Here is a 21,974-nt window from a genome sequence, read left to right as displayed (position 1 = left end):
GTCTCAGGGCCTCTAGCCCTGTGGTGGGGCAGGGGGTGCTGGGTGCCCCAGGTGGAGCTGAAGTCATGGGGCTGTTGAGGAGTTGGTGTCCACCTGGAGTCTGTCCAGTGAATTTAGGTCAACAGGTGTGCAGTCTGTCCTTCGAGGCTGAGCCACCTCCCAACAGCCCGAACAACTCCAGGGGCCTTTTGAAGGAGGGGTAGGCAGGCCCAGTGGGTGGTCAACCCAAGGTGAACCCACCCACCATGGCCAGGGTTCCTCAGGTTGAGCCTCCAGTGGGTGAAACCTAGGAGTCCTCAACCTTCCTGGCAGATGGGGCCATTGACAAGAGGAGGTGGGTGGGGTCTCCACAGACTCCGCCCTGTGGTGTCACACAGCTGGCAGCCAATGGGAGGCAACCAGCCAGGAAGCCCTGGAGCTACCCTTGCTGGGTAACCTTGCTGGGGAACCTGGGCCATCCCAGTTTGTGCGAAGTGGCCGGAGGCAGTTAGAAGCCCACGGTTCAGTCCAAGGCAGTCCACTGAGCCCCGTGTGACTCTGACCGGGCTGGGGGTGTCCATGTCCTCTCTGGACCTCAGTTCCTGTAAAATGGCCCATTGGCCAGATCGGCCGCCGGGCTGCTCACAGGTGCACGGGCTGCACATAACCCCGTGGGAAGAAGCCAACGCGCCCGCAGGACTGGCCCCGCCACCAGTGGGGGGTCTGGATGCTCCAGGACCCCAATGATGTCGCCATGGCAGAAGCTGAGCTGCGAGGGGTCCTGGGCTGAGAAGTCAAACTGGGCCTGGGCAAAGCAGGCCCCAGGTGACTTGAGCAAGGGCTCCTCGTCGCGCAGGAAGATCTGCCGCTTCTTGGCGATGGTGGTGGTGCGGTAGAAGTCGACCAGCTCGTTGAGGGAGTTGAACTTCTCCTCCCACAGGAAGTACTTCCCCGAGGCCTTGCGCAGCACCTTGAAGTGCTGCACCTGGTCTCCATAGCTAGGGGAAAGGACCCGGGGCGACCTCAGATGGTGGCCGTCCCAGCCTGGCATGGTCCCAGGGGGTCCCGTCTCACTACCACCTGGAACCAGCCTGTCTCAGGGTGGGACCTGGAGTCAGATAAGGTGCAAGTGGGAGAGGCCCCACTGACCCAGCTCCACATGGGGTCTGGGGAGTCCTATCTGGCAGTGGAATATGGGGTTAAGGGTGTGGGCTCTGAACCGGGCCACTTTCTCACTGTGTGATCTCATGCAAGTCTCTCGACTTCTCTGAACCTCAGTTTCCTCATAATGATAACATCTCCATTATGGAGAAGTGCACAGCGACTGGCATGTTAGCAACGTGAAATGGGTACCTCTGAGTGTGTCCTGATCAGAGAGCATCTCCTTCACATCTCTTTGCCGTTCCCCTCAGCTTGGACCTTCTCCCTGCTCCCCCGCTCCTCCCAGTCCCCACAGTCCCTTGGGGAGCAAGTCCTAGACTCATCCTGACTCAGACCAAAGCCTACTGCTGTGAGAGGAACTCAGACCTGTTGGATGTCTCATGTCCTCCCCCTCCCGTGAACCTTCTGTGGCTTCTCTCTTGGCCTCAGGGTAAACTCTTAACACCTCAGACTCAAGATCTGGCTCTGCAGTGGCACTTTTAATTTCCCTTAAGAACTTTTCCTTTGCATTCACAATTGGGATAACTGGCAAAAGAGCCCCAGCTTTCAGCCTATCTTAGCTTTTGACATGGCTTCCTCACTAAATTAATCATTTCTAGCTTTTGATTTAACATAAAAATGTGAGACTTGTTTTCACTTCAACAATTAGAGACCATTGTAGATTTATTAATTGGCCTAATTTTAATATTATTGTGTCAGGGATTGGGGGGCTCAAGAAGAGAGAAGGAGGGAGATGGGGGAATGATCAGGTGGCAGAGTAGTCAGAACACTCAACAGTTATTGATTACATTTACCATCTTACATGGGCACAGTTCATGGTTCCCCAAAGGAAGAATGACAATAGTAACATCAAAGATTACTGATCACAGATCACTGTAACAGATATAATAAAGATGAAAAAATTTTAAATATTTTGTAAATTACCAAAATGTGACACAGAGACACAAAGTGAGCATATGCTATTGGAAAAATGGCACCAATAGACTTGCTCAATGCAGAGTTGCCAAAACCCTTCAATTTGTAAAAAAAAAAAAAAAAAAAAAAAAAAAAAAAAAAAAAAAAAGCAATATCTACGAAGTACAATATATGAAGCACAATAAAACAAGGTATGCCTGTTGTCATTTATGACCTTATCTAATTCTCTCTAATAAAACACATGTTCCTCAAAGGCACGGACTATGTCCTGCTTATTTGTCTTTTTTAATCTTCCAGTGACTGTCATAGTAGGTAATCATTACATAGTAGGTGAATTGGATTTTCATTAGCATTTGGATTTCTAATTTTGAAGGAGCATGATCTTTCTTTTGCCAGTTTTAAGTTGATTTGAAAAACAAATACATGGGAAACATCTGGATCCATAACAGCAACATTCAAGTGCTAGATGGAAGGTCACATGGGAAGAGCAGCCCCTGACCAGAATGCTGGCCAGGGATAGACTGTTTAAATGGGCTTGGATTCTGGCTCCTTTGACTTCTTTTCCTTTCCTCTGAAGAGGGGTGAGCTAGAGTACCGTGAGATGTGACTTATTGAACATTACCCTGTGCCTAGCACCTCATTAGCTATTTTACATCATTAGCTTGTTTAATCTTTGTAATCTCTTCATTTAATCTTTGAAGGATACATTATTCCCATTGCATAGTAAACAAAGACATAGCAAGGTCAAATAACTTGTTTAAAATCATATAGTGAACAAAGATTTTGACTCAGATACTGGCTCCAAACTCATGTGCTTGCCCATTCTACTATGCTGACTCCCAGACTCAAGCTAGAGAATTCTCTCAGAAAGGAATACCCAAGGAAAACATGCAAGATGCAGCACTGTGTTAAAGATGGAATTTTTTAAAGTCTCTTAAGAATAGAATAGATGGACAGCAAGATGTAGCAATGGGTATTATGTCTGTTGATTCTCACAGCATTTGAGGCAATTTTGATTATCACCAGATCTGGAAGCCACTGCTCTGGTAGACAGAGTGTGAATATGGTAGTTGGAAAACTATGGTTCAAAGCCCATCTCAGCCACTGACCAGTTAAGTGAAGTTTAAGTTAGTTATGCAAACTTTATCAACTCAGTATTCTCATCTGTAGAATGGAGAACATAATTCCCTCTAGGATGTTTATTTTAAGAATAGAAAGAAGGAATTAAATGTGATTACATGACCATAAAAGAGGAAAAATTGATACCATGATGCTTGAGACACAAGCAATTAGAGCACCCTTTGAACATGTTTTTAAGATATCTTCTGTTTTATTTCCTAAAAGTAACCAACTCCAGATGATAAAAGATGCTATTTTAATGCATGTCTATGGCTGGGCATGGTGGCTCATACCTATAATCCTAGCCCTTTGGGAGGCTGAAGTGGGAGAATTGCTTGAGTCCAGGAGTTTGAGACCATCCTGGGCAACATATTGAGACCTCATCTCTATAAATAATTTAAAAAATTAGCCAGGCACAGTGGCACACACCTATAGTCCCAGCTTCTTGAGGGGCTGAGACAGGAGGATTGTTTGGGCCCAGGAGGTTGAGGCTGCAATGAGCCATGATCATGCCATTGCACTCCATCCTGGGCAACAGAGTGAGACCCTGGCTCAAATAAATAATAATAATAATAATAATATAGTAATTCATGTCTATCTTTGTGCAAGAAGCTTTCCTGACCCAATCCTAAGCTCAGCGACTGCCCTTTCATGGTGTTTCTGGAGCACCCTATGCACACGTTCGTCTTTGTTCTGCCTCACCCTATAGTAATAGTATATAAAAGAGTTTTGTCAAGATGGCCCTGAGGCAGAGCAGGAGGGGTGGCAGTATTCCATTTTTAAAAATAGCAAAGATAAGGCCAGGCATGGTAGTTCATGCCTGTAATCCCAGGACTTTGGGAGGCCCAGGCAGGCAGATCACCTGAGGCCAGGAGTTCAGGACCAGCCTGGCCAACATCATGAAACCCTATCTCTATTCTTATAAGAATATCCCATCTCTATTCTTGTAAGAATACAATAATTAGCTGGGCATGGTGTTGTGCACCTGTAATCTCAGCTACTTGGGAGGCTGAGACAGGAGAATCATTTGAACTCAGGAGGTGGAGGTTGCAGTGAGCCAAGATTGTGCCACTGCACTGTAGCCTGGGCAACAGAGTGAGATTGTGTCTCAAAAAAAAAAAAGTAGCAAAAATACTTAATAATTTGCTTGAGACGATGATGTGATTAGTTAGTGGCAGAACTCAGGATCAGATATCAGAGCTAATGCAACTACACCAGGGAACAGCAACTTAGAAACTTGTCCTGTCCCAAGGAAGAGGTAACGGTCCAGAGGTAGATGAGATTGGGTTTTCTTCTCTTCTCTCTAATGTCCTTTGATTTCTTTACCCTGGTTACATGTAATGGCTTGGCAGAAACTTCAAAATTGAACTTGTGAGAGACATCACTGTTATTAACCTCTAGGCAATTACAGTAGCTGTCAAAGGTTTTTGAGCCAACATGCAACCTGACCCTTTCTAAATGACTTAGAAGTGACATTTTAATGAGAAAAGAAAGCAGAAGAGGTGGTTTTTTTCTAAACAGGAAATTTTTATGGAGAAACTGACACTGAATTTTACTGTCTATCCAGAGGGTATGTGTGAGATGAAGAGCAGAGCCCAAGGCTGTTAGCTTCTGTTTGTTACTTCTGCTCCCCTAGTCCCTCATCCACTGAAGCCTCTCCTGAGAAGTCACATAGAGGCATGCTAAGGAATTATTCCCCTAGCAAGACTTGGCTTATTAGTGCATTTGGGGTAACTAAATTACCAGCTCCAGTCAATCCCCCTTTTCTTTTTTATCTCTGGGCCTGGTCAAAGGAAATCTATGGGGCACAAATACTAAGCTTTTTAAAAAAGATGTAATTCATGTATCACAAAATTCACTCCTTTAAAGTGTACAATTTAGTAGGCTTTAGTGTACTAACACAGTTGTGCAACCATCAACACTATCTAATTCTAGAACATTTTCCTCACTCCTGAAAGAAACCCATATCCTTTAACAGTCACTCCTCGTTTTCTTCTTTCTCAGCCCCTGGCAATCACTAATCTACTTTCTTTTTCTACGTAGTTGCCTATTTTGAACATTTCCTTAAAATGTATTAAAATGCATAACGTTTGTATCTAGCTTCTTTCACTTACCATAATGTTTTCAAAGTTCAGAAGTTAGAGGAACAGTCTGTAAGACCACTCTTTCTTCTGATACTAATTGCAAGTTTGGTGATTCCCAAGACCATCAAGATAAAACCCCACAAAACTCACTGAAAGCTATTATGCTCATGATTATGGTTTATTACAGCTAAAGGATACAGATTAGAATCAGCCAGAGGAAGAGGTGCATAGAACAGAGTTCAAAAAAGTACCAAAAGCAAAACTGCCAGTTGTTCTTTACTCATGAGTCATGGACAGCTTTGGCAAGAATGCTTCATATTCTTGCCAATGCCATTAGTTTTCTGGTATCAATATGTGACTGTACCCATGGAATATTGCCAGCTAGGGAAGTACACCAGAGCCTTGGTGTCCAGGTCTTTATTGGAGCTTGATCACATAAACCTGGCTGGCTGCTCACATGGCTGACTTCAGTCTTCAGACTTTCTTTCTGGAGGTCAACTGATACCACATGCCCCAAAGCCCTCACCCTAAATTAGATTGTTAGTATCTGGCTGGCCCAAGGATCCCAGGCAAACAAAGATATTTTTTCAGACAGGACATTCCAAGGGCCTGGAGATTACCTCCCAGGAGTCAAGGGCAAATGTCAGACCATGCTTTGAGTGAAGTTAAATTGTTTACTACATAAAAGTTCATTTATGTTATATCCTGTATCAGTATTTCTTTCCCTTTTGTGGCTGATTAATATTTCATTGTAGGGATTTACCACATTTTGTTTATCCATTTATCAGTTGATGAACATTTGGGTTGTTTCAACTTTTTGGCTATGACGAATAATGCTACTGTGAACATTTGTGTACAAGTTTATCTGTAGACATATATTTTCAATTCTTTTGGGTAAATGCTGGATCATATGGCAACTCTTTGTTTAAGGAAATACCAAACTGTTTCCAAAGTGGTTGTACCATTCTACATTTTCATTAGTAATGTATGAGTGTTTCAGTTCTTCATATTCTTGCCAATGCTAGTTGCTTTAAAAAATTATTATTATTGGCTGGGTGCAGTGGCTCACACCTGTAATCCCAGGACTTTAGGAGGCCAAGATGGGCAGATCATGAGGTCAGGAGATCTAGACCATCCTGGCTAACATGGTGAAACCCCATCTTTACTAAAAATACAAAAAATTAGCCGGGCATGGTGGCAGGCACCTGTAGTCCCAGCTACTTGGGAGGCTGAGGCAGGAGAATGGCATGAATCCGGGAGGTGGATCTTGCAGTGAGCTGAGATCATGCCACTGCACTCCAGCCTGGATGACAGAGCGAGACTCCGTCTCAAAAAAAAAAAAAAGTATTATTATTATTATTATAGCCATCCTAGTGGGAGTGATGTCATATCTCATTGTAGTTTTGATTTTATTTCCCTAATGAATAGTAATGTTGAGCAAAGTTTTATTGCTTATTGTCCATCTGTGTATTTTTGGAGAAATGTCTGTTCAGATACTTTCCCCATTTGAAAATTGGGTCATTTATTTTTTATTGTTGAGTTGTAAGAGTTTGTTATACAGTCTGCAAAGAAGTCCTTTATCAGATATATGATTTGTAAATATTTTCTCTCATTCTATGGGTTGTCTTTTCACTATTTTAATAGTGTACTTTAAAATGCAAAAATTTTAAATTTTGATAAAGTTGAATTTGTCTGTTTCTGTTTTTGTCATTGTTGCTTGTTTTTTGGTGTCATATTGAAGAAATGCTTTCTTAATCCAAAGTCATAAAGGTTTATGTTTATGTTTTCCTCTAAGAGTTTTAGAATTTTGACTTTAACATTTAGATGTTTGCTCCAATTTAATTTAGTATATGGTGTGAGGTAGGGGTCCTACTTCATTCTTTTGCGTACAGATAAACATTTGTGTCAGCACCATTTGTTGAAAAGATGGCTCTTTTTCCGTTGAATTGCCTTGGCACCCTTGTAAAATAATATTAGTTTACCATAAATTTGAGGTTTTATTTCAAAACTCTCACTTTTATTTCATTGATCTACATGTCTTTCCTTATGTCAGTATCACATTGTCCTAATGATTATAGCTCTATTTTGTTCTATAATTCTTTTTTTAAATGGTTTTGGAAATAGGGAGTATGAGACCTCAAACTTTGTTTTGTTTTCAAAATTGCTTTGCTTATTCTAGATCTCTTGCAAATCATAGAATCCATTTGTCAATTTCTGCAAAAAAGCCAGCTGGAATTATGGTAGAGATTGCATTAAATCTGTAGATCAGTTAGGGGAATGTTGCCATGTTAACAATATTAGGTCTTTAGTCTGTGAACATGGCCTATTTTTCCATTTATTTTGGTCTTCTTTTATTTCTTTTGATTATGTTTTGTAGTTTTTAGTTTATAAATCTTGCACTTCTTCTGTTAATTTATTTGTATTCTCTTCTTTTTGATGTTTTTGTCAATAAAATTGTTTTCCTAATTTTATATGCAGATTGTTCACTGTGAGTGTGTAGACTGTACAATTGACTTTGCATGTTTATCTTGTGTCCTGTAACCTTGCAGTGGTTGTCTATAAGTACTAATAATTTGTGTGTGTTCATGTGTGTGTGTGCATGCATATATATTTCTTAATACTTCCCACATATAAGAGATAGTTTTATTTTTTTTTCAGTCTGGATAACTTTTATTCCCTTTTATTGCCTACTTTCCCTGGCTAGACTCTTCAGTACAGTATTGAATAGAGGTAGCAAGAGTAGACATCCTTGTCATCTTTCCAATATTAGAAGGAAAGCATTCAGTCTTTATTAAGTATAATATTACTTGTGAGTTTTCCTTAGATGACCATAATCAGGTTGAGGAAATTCCCCTCTACTCTTAGTTTGCTGTTTGTTTTTATTTCATAAAAGATTGTTGGGTTTTGTCAAATATTTTCTCTGCATTGATTGTAGTAATCATGTGGTTTTAAATTTTTTATTAATATAGCATATTGCATGGACTGATTTTTATATGTTGAGCTAACTTGGCATTTTTGGGATTTTTCCCATTTGGTCATGGTGTATACTTCCTGAGATACTTGTGAGGTCTTCCGAAATCATAGGCTCCAAGCTCAGTTGGACCAGAAACTCTCCTCAGGATCACTGAAACTGTCAGTTTTACCGTGCTGTTAAGTATGACAATGGTCTGACTTTACTGCCAGATTGTGTTCAAATTAAAATACCTCCAGCTGAGCTCCTTGAACACAATTACTATGTACTTTCATCTCTGGGCCCGAATACTGAGTGCAGTATGACACAAAGTTGACATGCCACAAATGATTTCCAATGAGTTAATTTATACATACATGAATAAGTTTCAAAATAAATTTCACCTCTTTGGAGGGCATCTTCTATAGTTCTGAGCTGTGGGAATTTGTGAGGTGTGGTTCGGAAGAAGAAAATGTACTACATGTACAACTTCTTCACTAAGCATTAATGATAAAATTCTACCTTATGATCATTCAGATTGATTTGAGAGGTAAAAAAAGCAACTGAATTCAGAAATTAGCCTTTTGTTAAATGGCCATTTTGTATATATCTGATTATGGGATAAAATTTAACTATTATTCTTCCTTTACATAGCTTTTGGTATATTCTTCCTTTACATAGCTTTTAGTATATTCTCTCAGCTCTGTGTTTGTGAAAATGATGCCAACCTTGACTACCTTTCTCCTCAATGACTTGCACTACCCATGGAACACATAAGTATAATGAGTATTTGTCAAATAAATAAATGTACTATAAATGCAGGTGAATTAAGACTAAATGGTAAAAAAAAAAAAAAAAATGGAATCAGTACAGCAGGCTCTTCCTTAGAGGATCTTAATAGTCTGCTATATTTTATGTTTAAGTCAATGACATCTCCTATTTCCATTTCTTCCAGGAAATTATTTAGAAATGATCTCATCTTCCCTTTCTTTCATTCCAAGTTCTGCCCTCACCCTATAGATCCTTACTCTTTGATGTATAGACCAGGTATCAGTGGCATAGGCATCACCTCAGAGCAGAATCTCAGGCTCCTCCACAGACCTAGTAAATCAAAATCTGTATTTTAGCAAGATTCCCAGGTGATTCTCATGTATAGTAATGTTTGAGAAAAGATTATCTAAAATGTTGCCATATGCTTGCTCTACATGCTTGTTTCACTATCAAATAAATCTTGGTATCTATAGGTACGGTTCAACTTGAGATAGCAGGAATCATAGTAGAAAGTTTCATCTCCTATTTAAAAAAATTAAATAAGCAAATAATTATGGAAACCCTATTGGATGGGGGGTAGGTGTTTTCTTTATGTGCTGTGAAGAAAGTGTCAACATAGTTGCTCCTTTTAAAAATGTGTTAGGCCGTTTTTACATTGCTATAAAGAAATACCTGTGACTGGGTAATTTATAAGAAAAGGGGTTTAGTTAGCACATGGTTCTGTAGGCTGTACAGGAAGCATGGTGCCAGAATCTGCTTCTGGGGAGGCCTCAGGAAACTTACAATCATAGTGGAAGGTGGAAACAGGAGCAGGTGTTTCATGGCAGAAGCAGGTGCAAGAGAGGGTAGTGGAGGGAGGTGTTACACACTTAATCAAATCTCATGTGTACTCACTCACTATTGCAAGGACAGCACCAAGCCATAAGGAATCCACCCCCCATGACCAAAACACTTTCTATCAGGCTCCACCTCAAACACTGGGGATTATAATTCAACATGAGATTTGGCAGGGACATATATTCAAACTTTATATAAAAAACACCTCAACGGTGGCCCATGAGGGCCCAAAATTCCATTACAATCATTCTTTTGGATTCTCATTCATTTGTCACATCAGGTGAGACAACGAGATAAACTGCTGTTATGTGAATTACTTTACCATAATTAAGAAAAATTGACATTAAATAGAAGAAAGTCCAATTTTGATGGGGGAAGAAGCAGTAAAAAATTCCTAGAGGGCAGAAACAGCAAAAGTGGTGGGGTTGGTTATAGGAACCTGTGGGAACAGTGCAAGGAACTGGGTATATTAGTTATAGATCTTCAGAGAAACAGAACCAATAGGATCAACAGAAATGTTTGAGAGAGGATTTATTATGGAAATTGGCTCACACAAATATGGAGGCTGAGAAGTCCCACCATATGCTATCTGCAAGCTGGAGAACAAAGGAAGCTGATAGCATTGCTCAGTCCAAGTTTAAAGGCCCAAGAACTTGGGAAGCCAGTGGTGCAAGTCTTAGAGTCCAAAGGCCAAAGAACCTGGATGTCCAAGAGTAACAGAAGATGAGTGTTCCAGCTCCAGAAGACAGGAAAATTCATCTTTCCTCTGACCTCATTGTTCTATCCAGACACTGAACCAATTGTTTGGTGCCTGCCCACATTGGGTGAGGGTTGATCCTCCTTACTCAGGCCACTGACCCTAGTGCCTCTTTTCTGTAAACACCCTCATAGACATACCCAGAAAGAATGCTTTACCATCTATCTGGGTATCTTTTAATCCAGTCAAGTTGACACCTAAAATTAACCATCACACTGGGGTTGCTAGAGCAAGAAGGAATGCTCTGCAGGAGGAGGTGAGAAAAAAATCCAGGATATACCCTGCATATATCACAGTGCTATATCTGTCTAGTCTTGCCTACTGAAAGCAATGCAATTATGGCTTTCTAACTCAGGCTTGATTTTTTCTTATTGAGAGCCACCCCAAGGATTCTTGTTATGGAACACTGGCAACAATGCAGTAAGACATCCTTTCTCATCTAATTCCTTTGGAGAGAGAGAGATTGATGGAAAACAATGCAAGCATCTTCTGGGCACAGATGGACAAGGCATTCTGCTTGGGGCAGCCGAGGCTTAGCACATTGAATACAGTTCCAAGAACCACATCAGAAATGTTTAGGGAATGAAAGACTTGGCCGGGAAATAGCAACAGGAGCTAAATATGGACTGGCTGACTAATCATCTCTGAAAGGGGAACCAAGCAATGTGGTAATGATCTTATGGGCAAAATGCTGTGGAGAATTTGCCTGGGCTGTAAGGGACAACATGAAGCAAATGTAAGGTGAAGGACCATCCAGGAAGAATGCCTCACGTCAATGGATTTGCAGGGGACTGACTCCCTCTTTCTTCTTCCCTTTCCCTAGATATTATACATTCCTCATTTTTGTTGTGTATGCACTTCTAGCGTAAGGCATCCAAGGAGACAACTCGAAAATTGCCTAAAGAAAGACCACATGGTGTGTGCTAACTTAAGCCGATGATGTGAATAGCAACACCTTGGCCTCCTTCAACTTTATGCACTTGATAGACAAACCCCATTTGGAGGTCTTTTTCAGAAAATTTTGGGGTCTGTAGGGAATAGACATGCCTTTTTCCTCATTTTGCTTTTGCTTACCAAGGTAAGAACAGTTAAAAAAAAATATATGAGTCTTCAGCTTGATTTTCAAGTCCGTGAAACAGTTCAGTGGGTTAAAGAGGCTTCAGTGGCTCTTTTACCTAGATAAGAAATTATTATCACGATGATACTTTTACGTTAATTGTTTTTCTTATTTTTTAATGGATTTGAGTTGACAAGGGATAATGTCTTTAAAAAAGAAAACACAAACTTTATTTGTGATTGTTTTAGTTCAGGCTATTATAACAAAGTACCATAGACTATGTCAACTTTCAATAATGAGATTCAGAAAATATGATTAAGTATAGAGTTTATTTGACCCCAGAGCTTGACGATGGCCACCCAGAAACATAGATTTAAGTTGCTGTGAATATACACTTTGATTAGCAGCAGTTACAAGTGGATTTTCAAGAAAAAAAGAAGAGGCAGTTCCTCTATTATTTACTAATAATTTACATAGAAATAACCTAAGCTATTGATTGGCTCTGCATTGTACTGTATATCACAGATTCCAGGAACATGAAGATAATGGGAGAGGCAGCCAGTCGGGGGCAAAGATGCCGTTAAACAGTCAGCCCTGGGCATGGACGTGCCCCCTCCTACTGAAGTCCTATATTCACATCTTTCTGGGCCTGGTAAGTTTTGCATACTTCACAGGGCCCAGACTGCCTTATTTATTTATTTTTTTTCTTAACTGGGTGGCTTATAAACAACAGAAATTCATTTCTTACAGTTCTGCAGGCTAGAAGTCCAAGATCAGGCTGCCAGCATGGTCAGGTTCTGGTGAAGGCTGTCTTTCAGGTTGCAGACTACCACTTTCTTGTTGTGTCCTCACATAGCTGAAAGCAAGCAAGCTAGCTCTCTGGCCTCTTCTTATAAATTCATTTATGAGGACTTCACCCTCATGACCTAATCACCTCCCAAAGGCCCCACCTCCAAATATCATCACACTGGAGATTAGAATTTAACATATCAGGCAGTTTGGGGTGGCTCATATCTGTAATCCTAGCACTTAGGGAAGCCAATTCAGGAGCATCACTTGAGCCCAGGAGTTCAAGGCTGCAGTGAACAATGATCGTGCCACTGCACTCCAACCTGGCCAGCAGAGTGAGACCCTGTCACTAAAAAAAAATTTTTTTAAGATTTTAGGCCGGGCACAGTGGCTCATGCCTGTAATCCCAGCACTGTGGGAGGCCAAGGCAGGCGGATCACGAGGTCGGGAGTTTGGGACCAGCCTGATCAACGTGGTGAAACCCCATCTCTACTAAAAATACAAAAATTAGCCAGGCATGGTGGTGTGTGCCTGTAATTCCCAGCTACCCAGGAGGCTGAGACAGAAGAATCGCTTGAACCTGGGAGGTGGAGGTTATAGTGAGCTGAGATCGCGCCATTGCACTCCAGCCTGGGCGACAGAGCGAGACTTTATCTCAAAAAAAATAATAATAAAAATAAAAAAGATTTTAAAATATTTAAAAAACAACACTGATTCTCTGAGACATTTTGGGGACCACTCGTAGAATACTGTGACCTTAACAGTTCCATTGCCTGAGCTGTGGCAAGTCAGTACACTGATACCAAGGGTTGTAGCAGAGAAAGTTTAAATATCATAGGGCAGCAAAATGAAAAGATGGTAGGAAACCTCAAATCCTCCTCCTCAGAGAGTTTGGGGCTAGGGATTTTAAGGGGTTTGCAATGGGTTGAGGTGTGGGGATTGTTGATTGATGAAAGAATGTAGGGTGCAGTCATGGGACAGGGAAGTGATGAAACTGTATTTTATACTGATTTGATTTTTCTGTGGAGGTCTTTAAACTGGTTGGTGTCAGCTGCTTCACTGGAATTCCAAGCCTGATAAACGTCTTAAGCATTTTTAAACAAGTCTTTCATTCTAACATCAGTGGTCTTATCTTTAAGAATGATAGAGTAGATAGTTAGGCAAACAAGAGCAGGGCAAGAGCAGGGCAATTTGCCAGAAATGTCAGGTGACCATCAAGTGATGGTCAGGCAGTTGTTAAATTGTTTCTCTAAAATAATAATTGGTTGTAGCTGGTGTCAAGGAAAGGCAGTCTCCCAACAGACAGAAAACACCTGAAGCTGGTGATCAGCAGCTTCCCAGTACGATCTCAGGAGTTGGGTGAATGGGCTCAAGCATGTGCACTAAGAGGCAAAATGGCAGAGTTTAACCAGTATAAGACCTTCCCCTAGGAAGACTCGACTGATAAAGGAAAAACGCCTCAAGTGAGCATGTGCACAACTTCAGTAAATACACTGCATGTGGCCCCTCCCAAGTGTTGGCAGGCCACCGTGCATGTGGACAGCCCATCCCAAGGAAAAATTAAGGAAGAAGAAATGCAAACCCCAGACCCATGCCCAGGGCAAGGGTCAGACGGCACCCTTGGATTTCTCAAGTGGCCTACTTGGCCCTCTTCCAAGTGCACTTTTCTCCTTTTGTTCTTGCTCTAATATTTTTTAATAAACTTTCATTCCTGCTCAAAAACTTGTCTTGGTCTCTGACTCTGCATTATGCCGCTCAGCTGAATTCTTTCCCCTCGAGAAGTCGAGAATTGAGTTGCTGCAGACCCAGATGGGTTCTCCGCTGCTAACGGGAACAATGGGGATGTAAATCAATTCTTAAACTAAAGCCTTATGATTTTAACATCAGAAATCCCATCTATACAAACAATGGGAAGGTAAATTGTCAGTATCTAGTGTTACATGATTTTCAGTTATAAGGAAGTAGGCCAGAGTGCAGTCTGATTGATGTTTAATGATAATTATATTTTTTTCCAGAAGCTGGCATGTAATTCTCGTTAACTCCATGAGCAGAGTTTCAATACTGCCCTGACCAATGGGCAAAGATGATTCCCAGGTCTGTTGCAAATATCCAGAAATTAACTTTTGCTTTACACAGTTTTTTAATTTAAGTCTCATGTAACTGGTTCTGAGTAACAATGCTCTCTTCATTTATTTGGTTTTTACAAAGCAAGGCTGTGACAATTAGGCTTGTGACTTAGGCTTTACTGGATGGGGAACAACTGTCTTAGATTTTTAGCTCTGGGGCAAAAGAGAGTTTAGGGCCCAAGGGAAAACTTTTGGCCTCTGAAGTTTTGCAGAGAATCTAGTGACAAAAGGCAGATTAATAGGAGAAAAGGTATACAAATTTATTAACATGCACAGGAGTCTTACAAAATATAAGATCGCAAAGAAATGACCAGATGGTTGATGCTTTTATACCACCTTGAAGTTACAAAAAGAATGGGGGCTTGGAGTAGGGCCAAAAACATGTTATGGTTGGTAAATCAGTTGATAGTGGCAAGACAGCTCATCAGAGGGGGCCTGGCTAGCAAAGATGGCCTTGTTATACAGGTGAAATCCTCTAACAGGGAGCAATCTCTACAGGTAGCAATACTCTACACAGGTAGCAATCCTCTAAGAGAATAGATGGTAAATGTTTCTTTCAGACCTTTAAAGGTGTCAGACTTTTATTGAATCTTGCCTAGATCTAGACAAGGAAGGGTATCTGAAGAAGCCTGGCTGAATCAATGTGGATTAACTCTACAGATGCAAATCTCCCCCGAAAAGACAGCTTTTCAGTTATTCTTGTATTTCCAGCCCTTCTAAATAGCTATCTTAAAATATATCAAAGAAGTATATTTTGGGGTGAAATATTTTGGTTTCCTTCAAAAGAATGGGAAGTGAGATCCAAGATGAAGTAGAGAAAAATATAGAGCTAGGAGCAGAATGGAGCCATAAACCTTCCTGGCAGTGGCCCTGAAGCTGGAGGACTGCTGGGCTTTCAAAAGGGAAGGGGAAACTTGTGTTGGTTATTTTTGGGGAGCACCCCTGGAGCCTGGTCCTGAAGAAACAGCCTCATCCCATTACTCCCTGGAAGTGGTTGTAAACATTTACGGATCCTGAGCACTTTGAGCGCACGCGGGCAGGGTTTTCAGAAGCAGATTGTTCACTTGCCAGCACACCGCAGGTCACTCATAAACACGGTCTCCTTGGAAAACGTGCTGACTTCTATTTCATATCCCTCCTACCTCCCTTTGACTTTAGGAACTAGAGTTTCAAAGATTGCCAACCCCTCCTTCCAGGGGTGATACATATCAAAATGTTAGAGGGCTGCCCTGGTGTGATAGGCTTTTCCACAGGCAGCTCCCCTTTGAAGAAAAGGGTCTCCATCTTGTGTGCAGGGAAGTATTCCTGGCCCTGTGAAAGTGAACTCATTCATCACGAGGTAACCAAACTCCTGTGGAGTAGAAAATACGAAGCTGAATGACACACATCCAGCCACAGATGTACTAATTCAATTTCATGCCCCTACATCAGCTGCTCCTCTCCACTTAAAAGGAACATTTGCATCCATCTGTCATCATCTCTCCCTTTCATTTTAAAATCTCTTTGCTCTCTTTTCTTTCCCTTCACTCCTCCCCACTCCACCACAACTTGATGAAATAATGGGGCACATTTAAAATCCAAACTCAGGCAATTCAAATTCTGAACCAATGTGATTTTGTTCCATTCTAAGTCAACCTCGAAGGGTGTCTGGGGAGTAGAAATCAAGGGGCCAAACAAAAAAGCAAGTGAGGGAGAGAAGATTTTGAATGCAAATCAACCTCCTCAACTCATTTGAAACAACCTGCTGTGAACTGGGCTAGAACGTATGGCCCATTAGCACCTTGTTAGGCTGTCAGAGCCTGAGCAGCTGAACAGAGCGATAATGGGGAGGAAATGGCTGAGACCTTTCTGAGCCCAGCCCCAGCTCTTTGGCATTCTACCCTCCTCACTTCTGGGACCTGAGGGGCAGGGTCAGTAAAACAGTTGCTCAAGAGGAAAAGCAGGTAAAAGAGAACAACTTAATTAAATTTGCTAAATTTTTTAAAGCATCTTTCTAGTAAAAAGGAAGACAGAGTTTAATTTAAGTTTTCCATGGTGGGGGGCAATTGATTTTTTTTTTTTTTACATTTTGGTGGGGATCCCTTTGTGCTTGCTATCTCTTGCTTTATTCTACATTAGTTTGAGGTTTAGTAAAAACATTACAGGGATGTTGAAGACTGCATGGTAAAATCTCAGTGATTAAGTCTTAATTCCCGTAAGGTAAATCCTCAAATTAAAAAAACTCTGTGGTTAACAGGCCTATCTGTAGACATCCATTTGCAAATGTGTTTAAGAATGCAACACTTACTTGCTTAGGATTAGGAGAGGAAAAGCTTACTAGAATATGCCGGATCCCCTTCTTTCTCCAATGCTTTTGTCGAGAGCCCAGTCAGTGACGTTGTCTCTAACACTACAATATGTAGATTGCAGAGAGCTCACAGCTTTTGCTGATGGCAATATTTACTTCTTGATATTAAAGACATTAGATATTCCACTATTAGGCAATTGAAGTATTTTTTCTTTCTATCATAAAAATGCATAATTTAAAGGCCAGTTGCCGTGGCTCATGCCTGTAATCCCAGCACTTTGGGAGGCTGAGGCGGGCGGATCACAAGGTCAGGAGTTTGAGACCAGCCTGGCCAACATGGTGAAACCCCATCTCACTAAAAATACAAAAACATTAGCATGGATTACAGGCATGGTGGCGCATGCCTATAATCCCAGCTACTCGAGAGACTGAGGCAGGAGAATTGCTTGAACCCGGGAGGCAGAGGTTGCAGTGAGCCGAGATCCCACCACTGCACTCCAGCCTGGGCGACAGAGCGAGACTCCATCTCAAAAAAAAAAAGAAAAAAAAAACCACAATTTAGTATTAAATAAACCAGAAAAGACTTGCTGACTTTAATGACCCATTAGAGATGGTCATGGAGGGAAAAATAAAAAAGTCTGTTGCCAAGTTTTTGAGAAGAGATTCAACTGTGCTGGTAGTGCCTTTAAGGTCAGGCTTAATGAGCTTGGACCAACTTAGGGTCAATGACCTTACAAACTTAGGATTTGTGCACAGAAGAAAAACAATAACAACAACAATAACTACAGGAATTAGTGTGGACTTTGGGAAAAGGCAGTTGCTAGAGAACCCGCGGTTTCCCAAATGACTGACATTTTCAGGTGAAAGTTCTTTGAAAATATATTTAATTGATTGTGTTGTCAGAGAAATTTTAAGTGATTTTGTTTGGAGTAAGAGGATAGATTTCATGACCTCTTAAGGTCACTGGAATGCTTCCGTGCTGTCTTGTATGTTTAAGTACCAATAAAAGATAGATAATCCAAGGGTGTTTATTTTCGCTTTCATTTCAGCCTGGAAGCAGAGATGAGAGTTTACAATACTAGGATAATTCTTTCGTCTGTCCAGATTTTTTTCAAAAAGAGTAATAAATAACCATACTATACTTAATTTTATAAAAGTGCAAAGTCAGTCCAAAATTTTGCAAGTTTTAAAATAGTGCAACATAAGTGCTAAACGCTAGTAGTCTTGCTTTCATTCCTCAGGGAGATTTCTCCCACTTTTTTCTATAGGCTGGATCCCTGAACGCTAACTGACATCCTGCTTTTCTTAAGGGATATGGAAATTTCCCTGGGACAGCTGTGCTCTGCTGGCTAAGGAGCCCACAAGGTTAATGAACACCCACAAAGACTGAGGAGGATAGAGAGCATTCTTCACTGGATGATTAGCATGCCAGCATTCTTTCCTCTGTGGTAATGATGGTCAAGAAGGTGCCTGGTGATAGAAGGGAGAATGAAGGGTTGCTGCTTCTGCCTCAAACGCTTATTAAAATTCATTTCCATTCAAATAGCCATCCTCTGATTTTCATCATCAAATAAGCACACACTGTATATACTTAACAGGCAGGTGACCTGTGCGGAGTTCATGTCTTTTTGAAGCAAAAGTGTGTTCTCTTAATCAGTGTCCATGCTTATCTCTGTATGTAAATTTCTCCCCTCTCCTCTTACCCACTCCACTTTCCTGCTACCCCAGTTCTGGGATCTTTGATGGGCAGCCTAGATGCCTATTATAATGATAATTCATTTGGAACGAAATGAAATCTCCTCTTCCAGTCTAGCTCATTATAAAGGTGAAGCCCTTGAGAGGGCAGGCTGGGAATGAACAGGTTTACAGAGTTCTGTTTTCCTTTAAGGGGTAAAGGTAGGATGGGAGTGGTTTCCTTAGTTCTCTAGGCTTTGGGTTTCTCTCCCTTTGGAACTGGCCTCCATTCCTATGCTTGGTGACTGTCTTCTGGCTCCTGGGGACCACCATCAGCTGGAAGGCATTTCGGCTTAGGCAGTTCTACACCAAACAGCTGCTGGGAACAGCTGGGCCTGCTCTACTGTTGTCAGTGAGAAACCAACTGGTAAATGTGAGTGTGTTGGGCTTCCTTAAAGGTTTATTGTGCTCTGATAATTCAGAACAACACAAAGATATTGTCCTCACTTGTGGTGTACCAGGTAGACCCCAGTAAGGCTTATCTTAATTTTTTTAAACATAAGAGACATAAAAAATGTCTTTGAGGACTTTGAAAATTCCAGAAGACATGATCAAGAAGCATATCAATAATGTAAATGTATAAGCAGTGAGAGTTCTTTTTTGTTTTTGAGACGGAGTCTTGCTCTGTCGCCAGGCTGGAGTGCAGTGGCACAATCTCAGCTCACTGCAACCTCTGCCTCCTGGGTTCAAGTGATTCCCCTGCCTCAGCCGTCCGAGTAGCTGGGACTACAGGTATGCACCACCATGCCAGGCTAATTTTTTTTTTTTTTGTATTTTAGTAGAGATGGAGTTTCACCATATTGGCCATCGATCTCCTGACCTCCTGATCCACCCTCCTCAGCCTCCCACAGTGCTGGGATTACAGGTGTGAGCCACCGCACCTGGCCAAGAGTTCTATTAAACTCATGGCATGATTGCATTTTCTAGCATGATTTACGTTTGTAAATTATCTCAGTGTACTTAAAGAGCAGTCAGGGCAGGTTAACAAATAGCTTTTAAAAATTTTCTTTTTGTTTTGCTCTTACTTGCCTTTAATAATAATAATTTTTGAAAACGCTTTCAGGTCTAAAATAACCTAATTCAGTTTCGTGGGGGTTGAAAAATCATCACTACATCTGCGAAGAGTCCTTATGGAGAGTGTGAGGGGAGAAATTAATTTTGCAAAGCATATGCTTAAACAAAATATAAAATAAGTGAGACTTGGGGTAAAGCAAATAAAACATTTCTTGCTTAGGGTCTGGTTCTTGTGATTTATTTCTTATGCTGAAGCATATTGTGTCTCCTAATTTTAGAAATGATTACTCATAGGAAGTTCATTCTGATGAAGCAGTTTCCCTGTTTTTCAACAAAAAAAATTGGACAATTTCAGAAAGTTTGTCTCTTCTCGTCTTGTCTGTCTGGAGGAAAGAGCTGTCCCTAGGATTTTGCCACAGTTGCCATGAACTCATTTTTAACTCTCAGGAGCCCACATAATAATGTAGACACCAAATGACCTGACAATATCTGATTCCTTATTGCTCTGGCTACATTGCTTTTTTTTTTTTTTTAATGTAGGGTATGGCACTCACTCCCCACTGAACAATAAGAATAAAGTTGCACAGATGTAGAATTATTAGAGTAGCTGTTTCAGTTTTATCAATATCAAGGTTGGCAAACATTCCCCTTTCTTATCTGTAACAGAAACCAGCCAAGGCAATGTGAAGGATTCCAAGAGAGGCAATATGGATGAAACCATTTATTAGATTTATAAGAGCTGAAGGAAAGTGGTAAAGCTATCCATCTTCTATACTTTATTGAGAACAGGACCAATGACTCAGACTATCAGGACAGTATCTCCAAGACAGAATTGAAATCCTAAAGTAAGCAGAGAATAAGTGCATACATTTTAGGAGAAGAGGGATCAAAGGCAGAAGGAAGAAATGCACGTAAGCCTCCAAATACATTGAATACAAATCTGTCTGCAACAGTTATGCAGCTACATAACTTTATAAATAAAGACTTCATTTCAGAAGGCTTTAAAGATTTTTTCCTTAGTCCTTTCCTCTATTGGAAATCATAGCTCTGAAAGCCAGTGATAGCAGGCAAAATTAGTATTTGGGTCATGTGAGATGCATATGTATATGTGAATAAATAAAACTAAGGGTGATGTAAAGAACAAATAATACCATTTAATTGAGAAATGGCACATAGCAGCTCCCCGCTTTTGTCATGATGAAATTATCAACATCAGTCAAATTGGCTGAATAAAATCTTTTCTGTGTTTAAAAATATTCTGAGCACATGCAAGTTTTGAAAGTAGATAAATCTAAAAACATTTGCTTTAGAACTTTAAAATTTTGATAATTCAAGATTCTAACATGTTCCTCTAAGGGTTTCATGGGTTTTATTTCTTTTAGTTTAGACACCAATTTCAAAATCCCTTTTTTGACCTGCATGTCATCAAACAGAGCTGATTTCAGATCTCACTTTGCTATATTACAAGCTATGTGAAGTTTTATTTATCTTTTATTTAGCTCAATTTTTTTTCAGTTATAAAATGGAATAACAATAATCCATAGTGCAAAAATAAAATGAAGATGAAGTTAAAGGAGTCAGATCAGTGCTTAATAATGAATGTTGGCTATTATTATTATTATTATTTAGAAAAGGGGGTGATGGAGGGCAGAGGCTGCAGTGAGCCAAGATTGTGCCACTGCACTCCAGCCTGGGTGACAGAGCAAGACTTCATCTAAGAAAAAAAACAAAAGTGGGTGACAGAGCCCTGGCCCATTCTGGAAGACAGCTATCATAAAGCAAGAAGAGGGCTGTGGGCAAGGAATTCTCTGGGATATCTGGTCAGTGCAGAGAATTGAAGCTAAAATTTTAATTCTATTAAAAATACATTTACTGAGCACCTACTAGGTTCAAGTTGCATACTTTTTTTTTTTTTTTTTTTTTTTTGAGACGGAGTTTTGCTCTTGTTGCCCAGCTGGAGTGCAATGGCACAATCTCGGCTCACCGCAACCTCCGCCTCCTGGGTTCAAGCGATTCTCCTGTCTCAGCCTCCCTAGTAGCTGGGGCATGTGCCACCGCGCCTGGCTAATTTTGTATTTTTAGTAGAGCCAGGGTTTCTCCATATTGGTCAGGCTGGTCTCAAACACCTGACCTCAGGTGATCCGCCTGCCTCAGCCTCCCAAAGTGCTGGGATTACAGGCGTGAGCCACCATGCCTGGTCTCAGGTTGCACACTTACTAATCTCCTGTAGACTGTATTCAAGTAATGGAAATAAAATACCTACATAACTTTCTTTGCTCCAAGTCAGAATAATGTAAGTGCCACAAGGAAGGCACACACACAGCACTATGGGAATTTAAAGGAGAGACATGCCATTGCTGGGGTTCAGAAAATGATACCCTAACATGAAGACCC

At 40.9% G+C, this 21,974-nt stretch overlaps 1 pseudogene, besides 2 other annotated features; it reads right to left on the bottom strand.

Annotated features, from left to right (window-relative positions):
- Positions 1 to 424: 424 nt before the first annotated feature.
- Positions 425 to 1,052, bottom strand: LOC100652908 (GRB2 related adaptor protein pseudogene; annotated as a pseudogene).
- Positions 16,247 to 16,784: an enhancer, noted in NCBI's record as "OCT4-NANOG hESC enhancer chr1:209330558-209331095 (GRCh37/hg19 assembly coordinates)". NCBI's record gives its function as "activates a minimal SCP1, AML or CMV promoter by ChIP-STARR-seq in primed H9 embryonic stem cells {active_cell/tissue: H9 hESC(primed)}" and the evidence as "EXISTENCE:reporter gene assay evidence [ECO:0000049][PMID:30033119]".
- Positions 17,976 to 18,495: an enhancer, noted in NCBI's record as "OCT4-NANOG hESC enhancer chr1:209328847-209329366 (GRCh37/hg19 assembly coordinates)". NCBI's record gives its function as "activates a minimal SCP1, AML or CMV promoter by ChIP-STARR-seq in naive H9 embryonic stem cells {active_cell/tissue: H9 hESC(naive)}" and the evidence as "EXISTENCE:reporter gene assay evidence [ECO:0000049][PMID:30033119]".

The sequence above is a fragment of the Homo sapiens genome, chromosome 1, assembly GCF_000001405.40.
Source record: "Homo sapiens chromosome 1, GRCh38.p14 Primary Assembly".
Lineage (NCBI taxonomy): Eukaryota > Metazoa > Chordata > Mammalia > Primates > Hominidae > Homo > Homo sapiens.
Note: the sequence above shows the minus strand (reverse complement) of the source record. Positions and strands in the feature narration are given on the sequence as shown.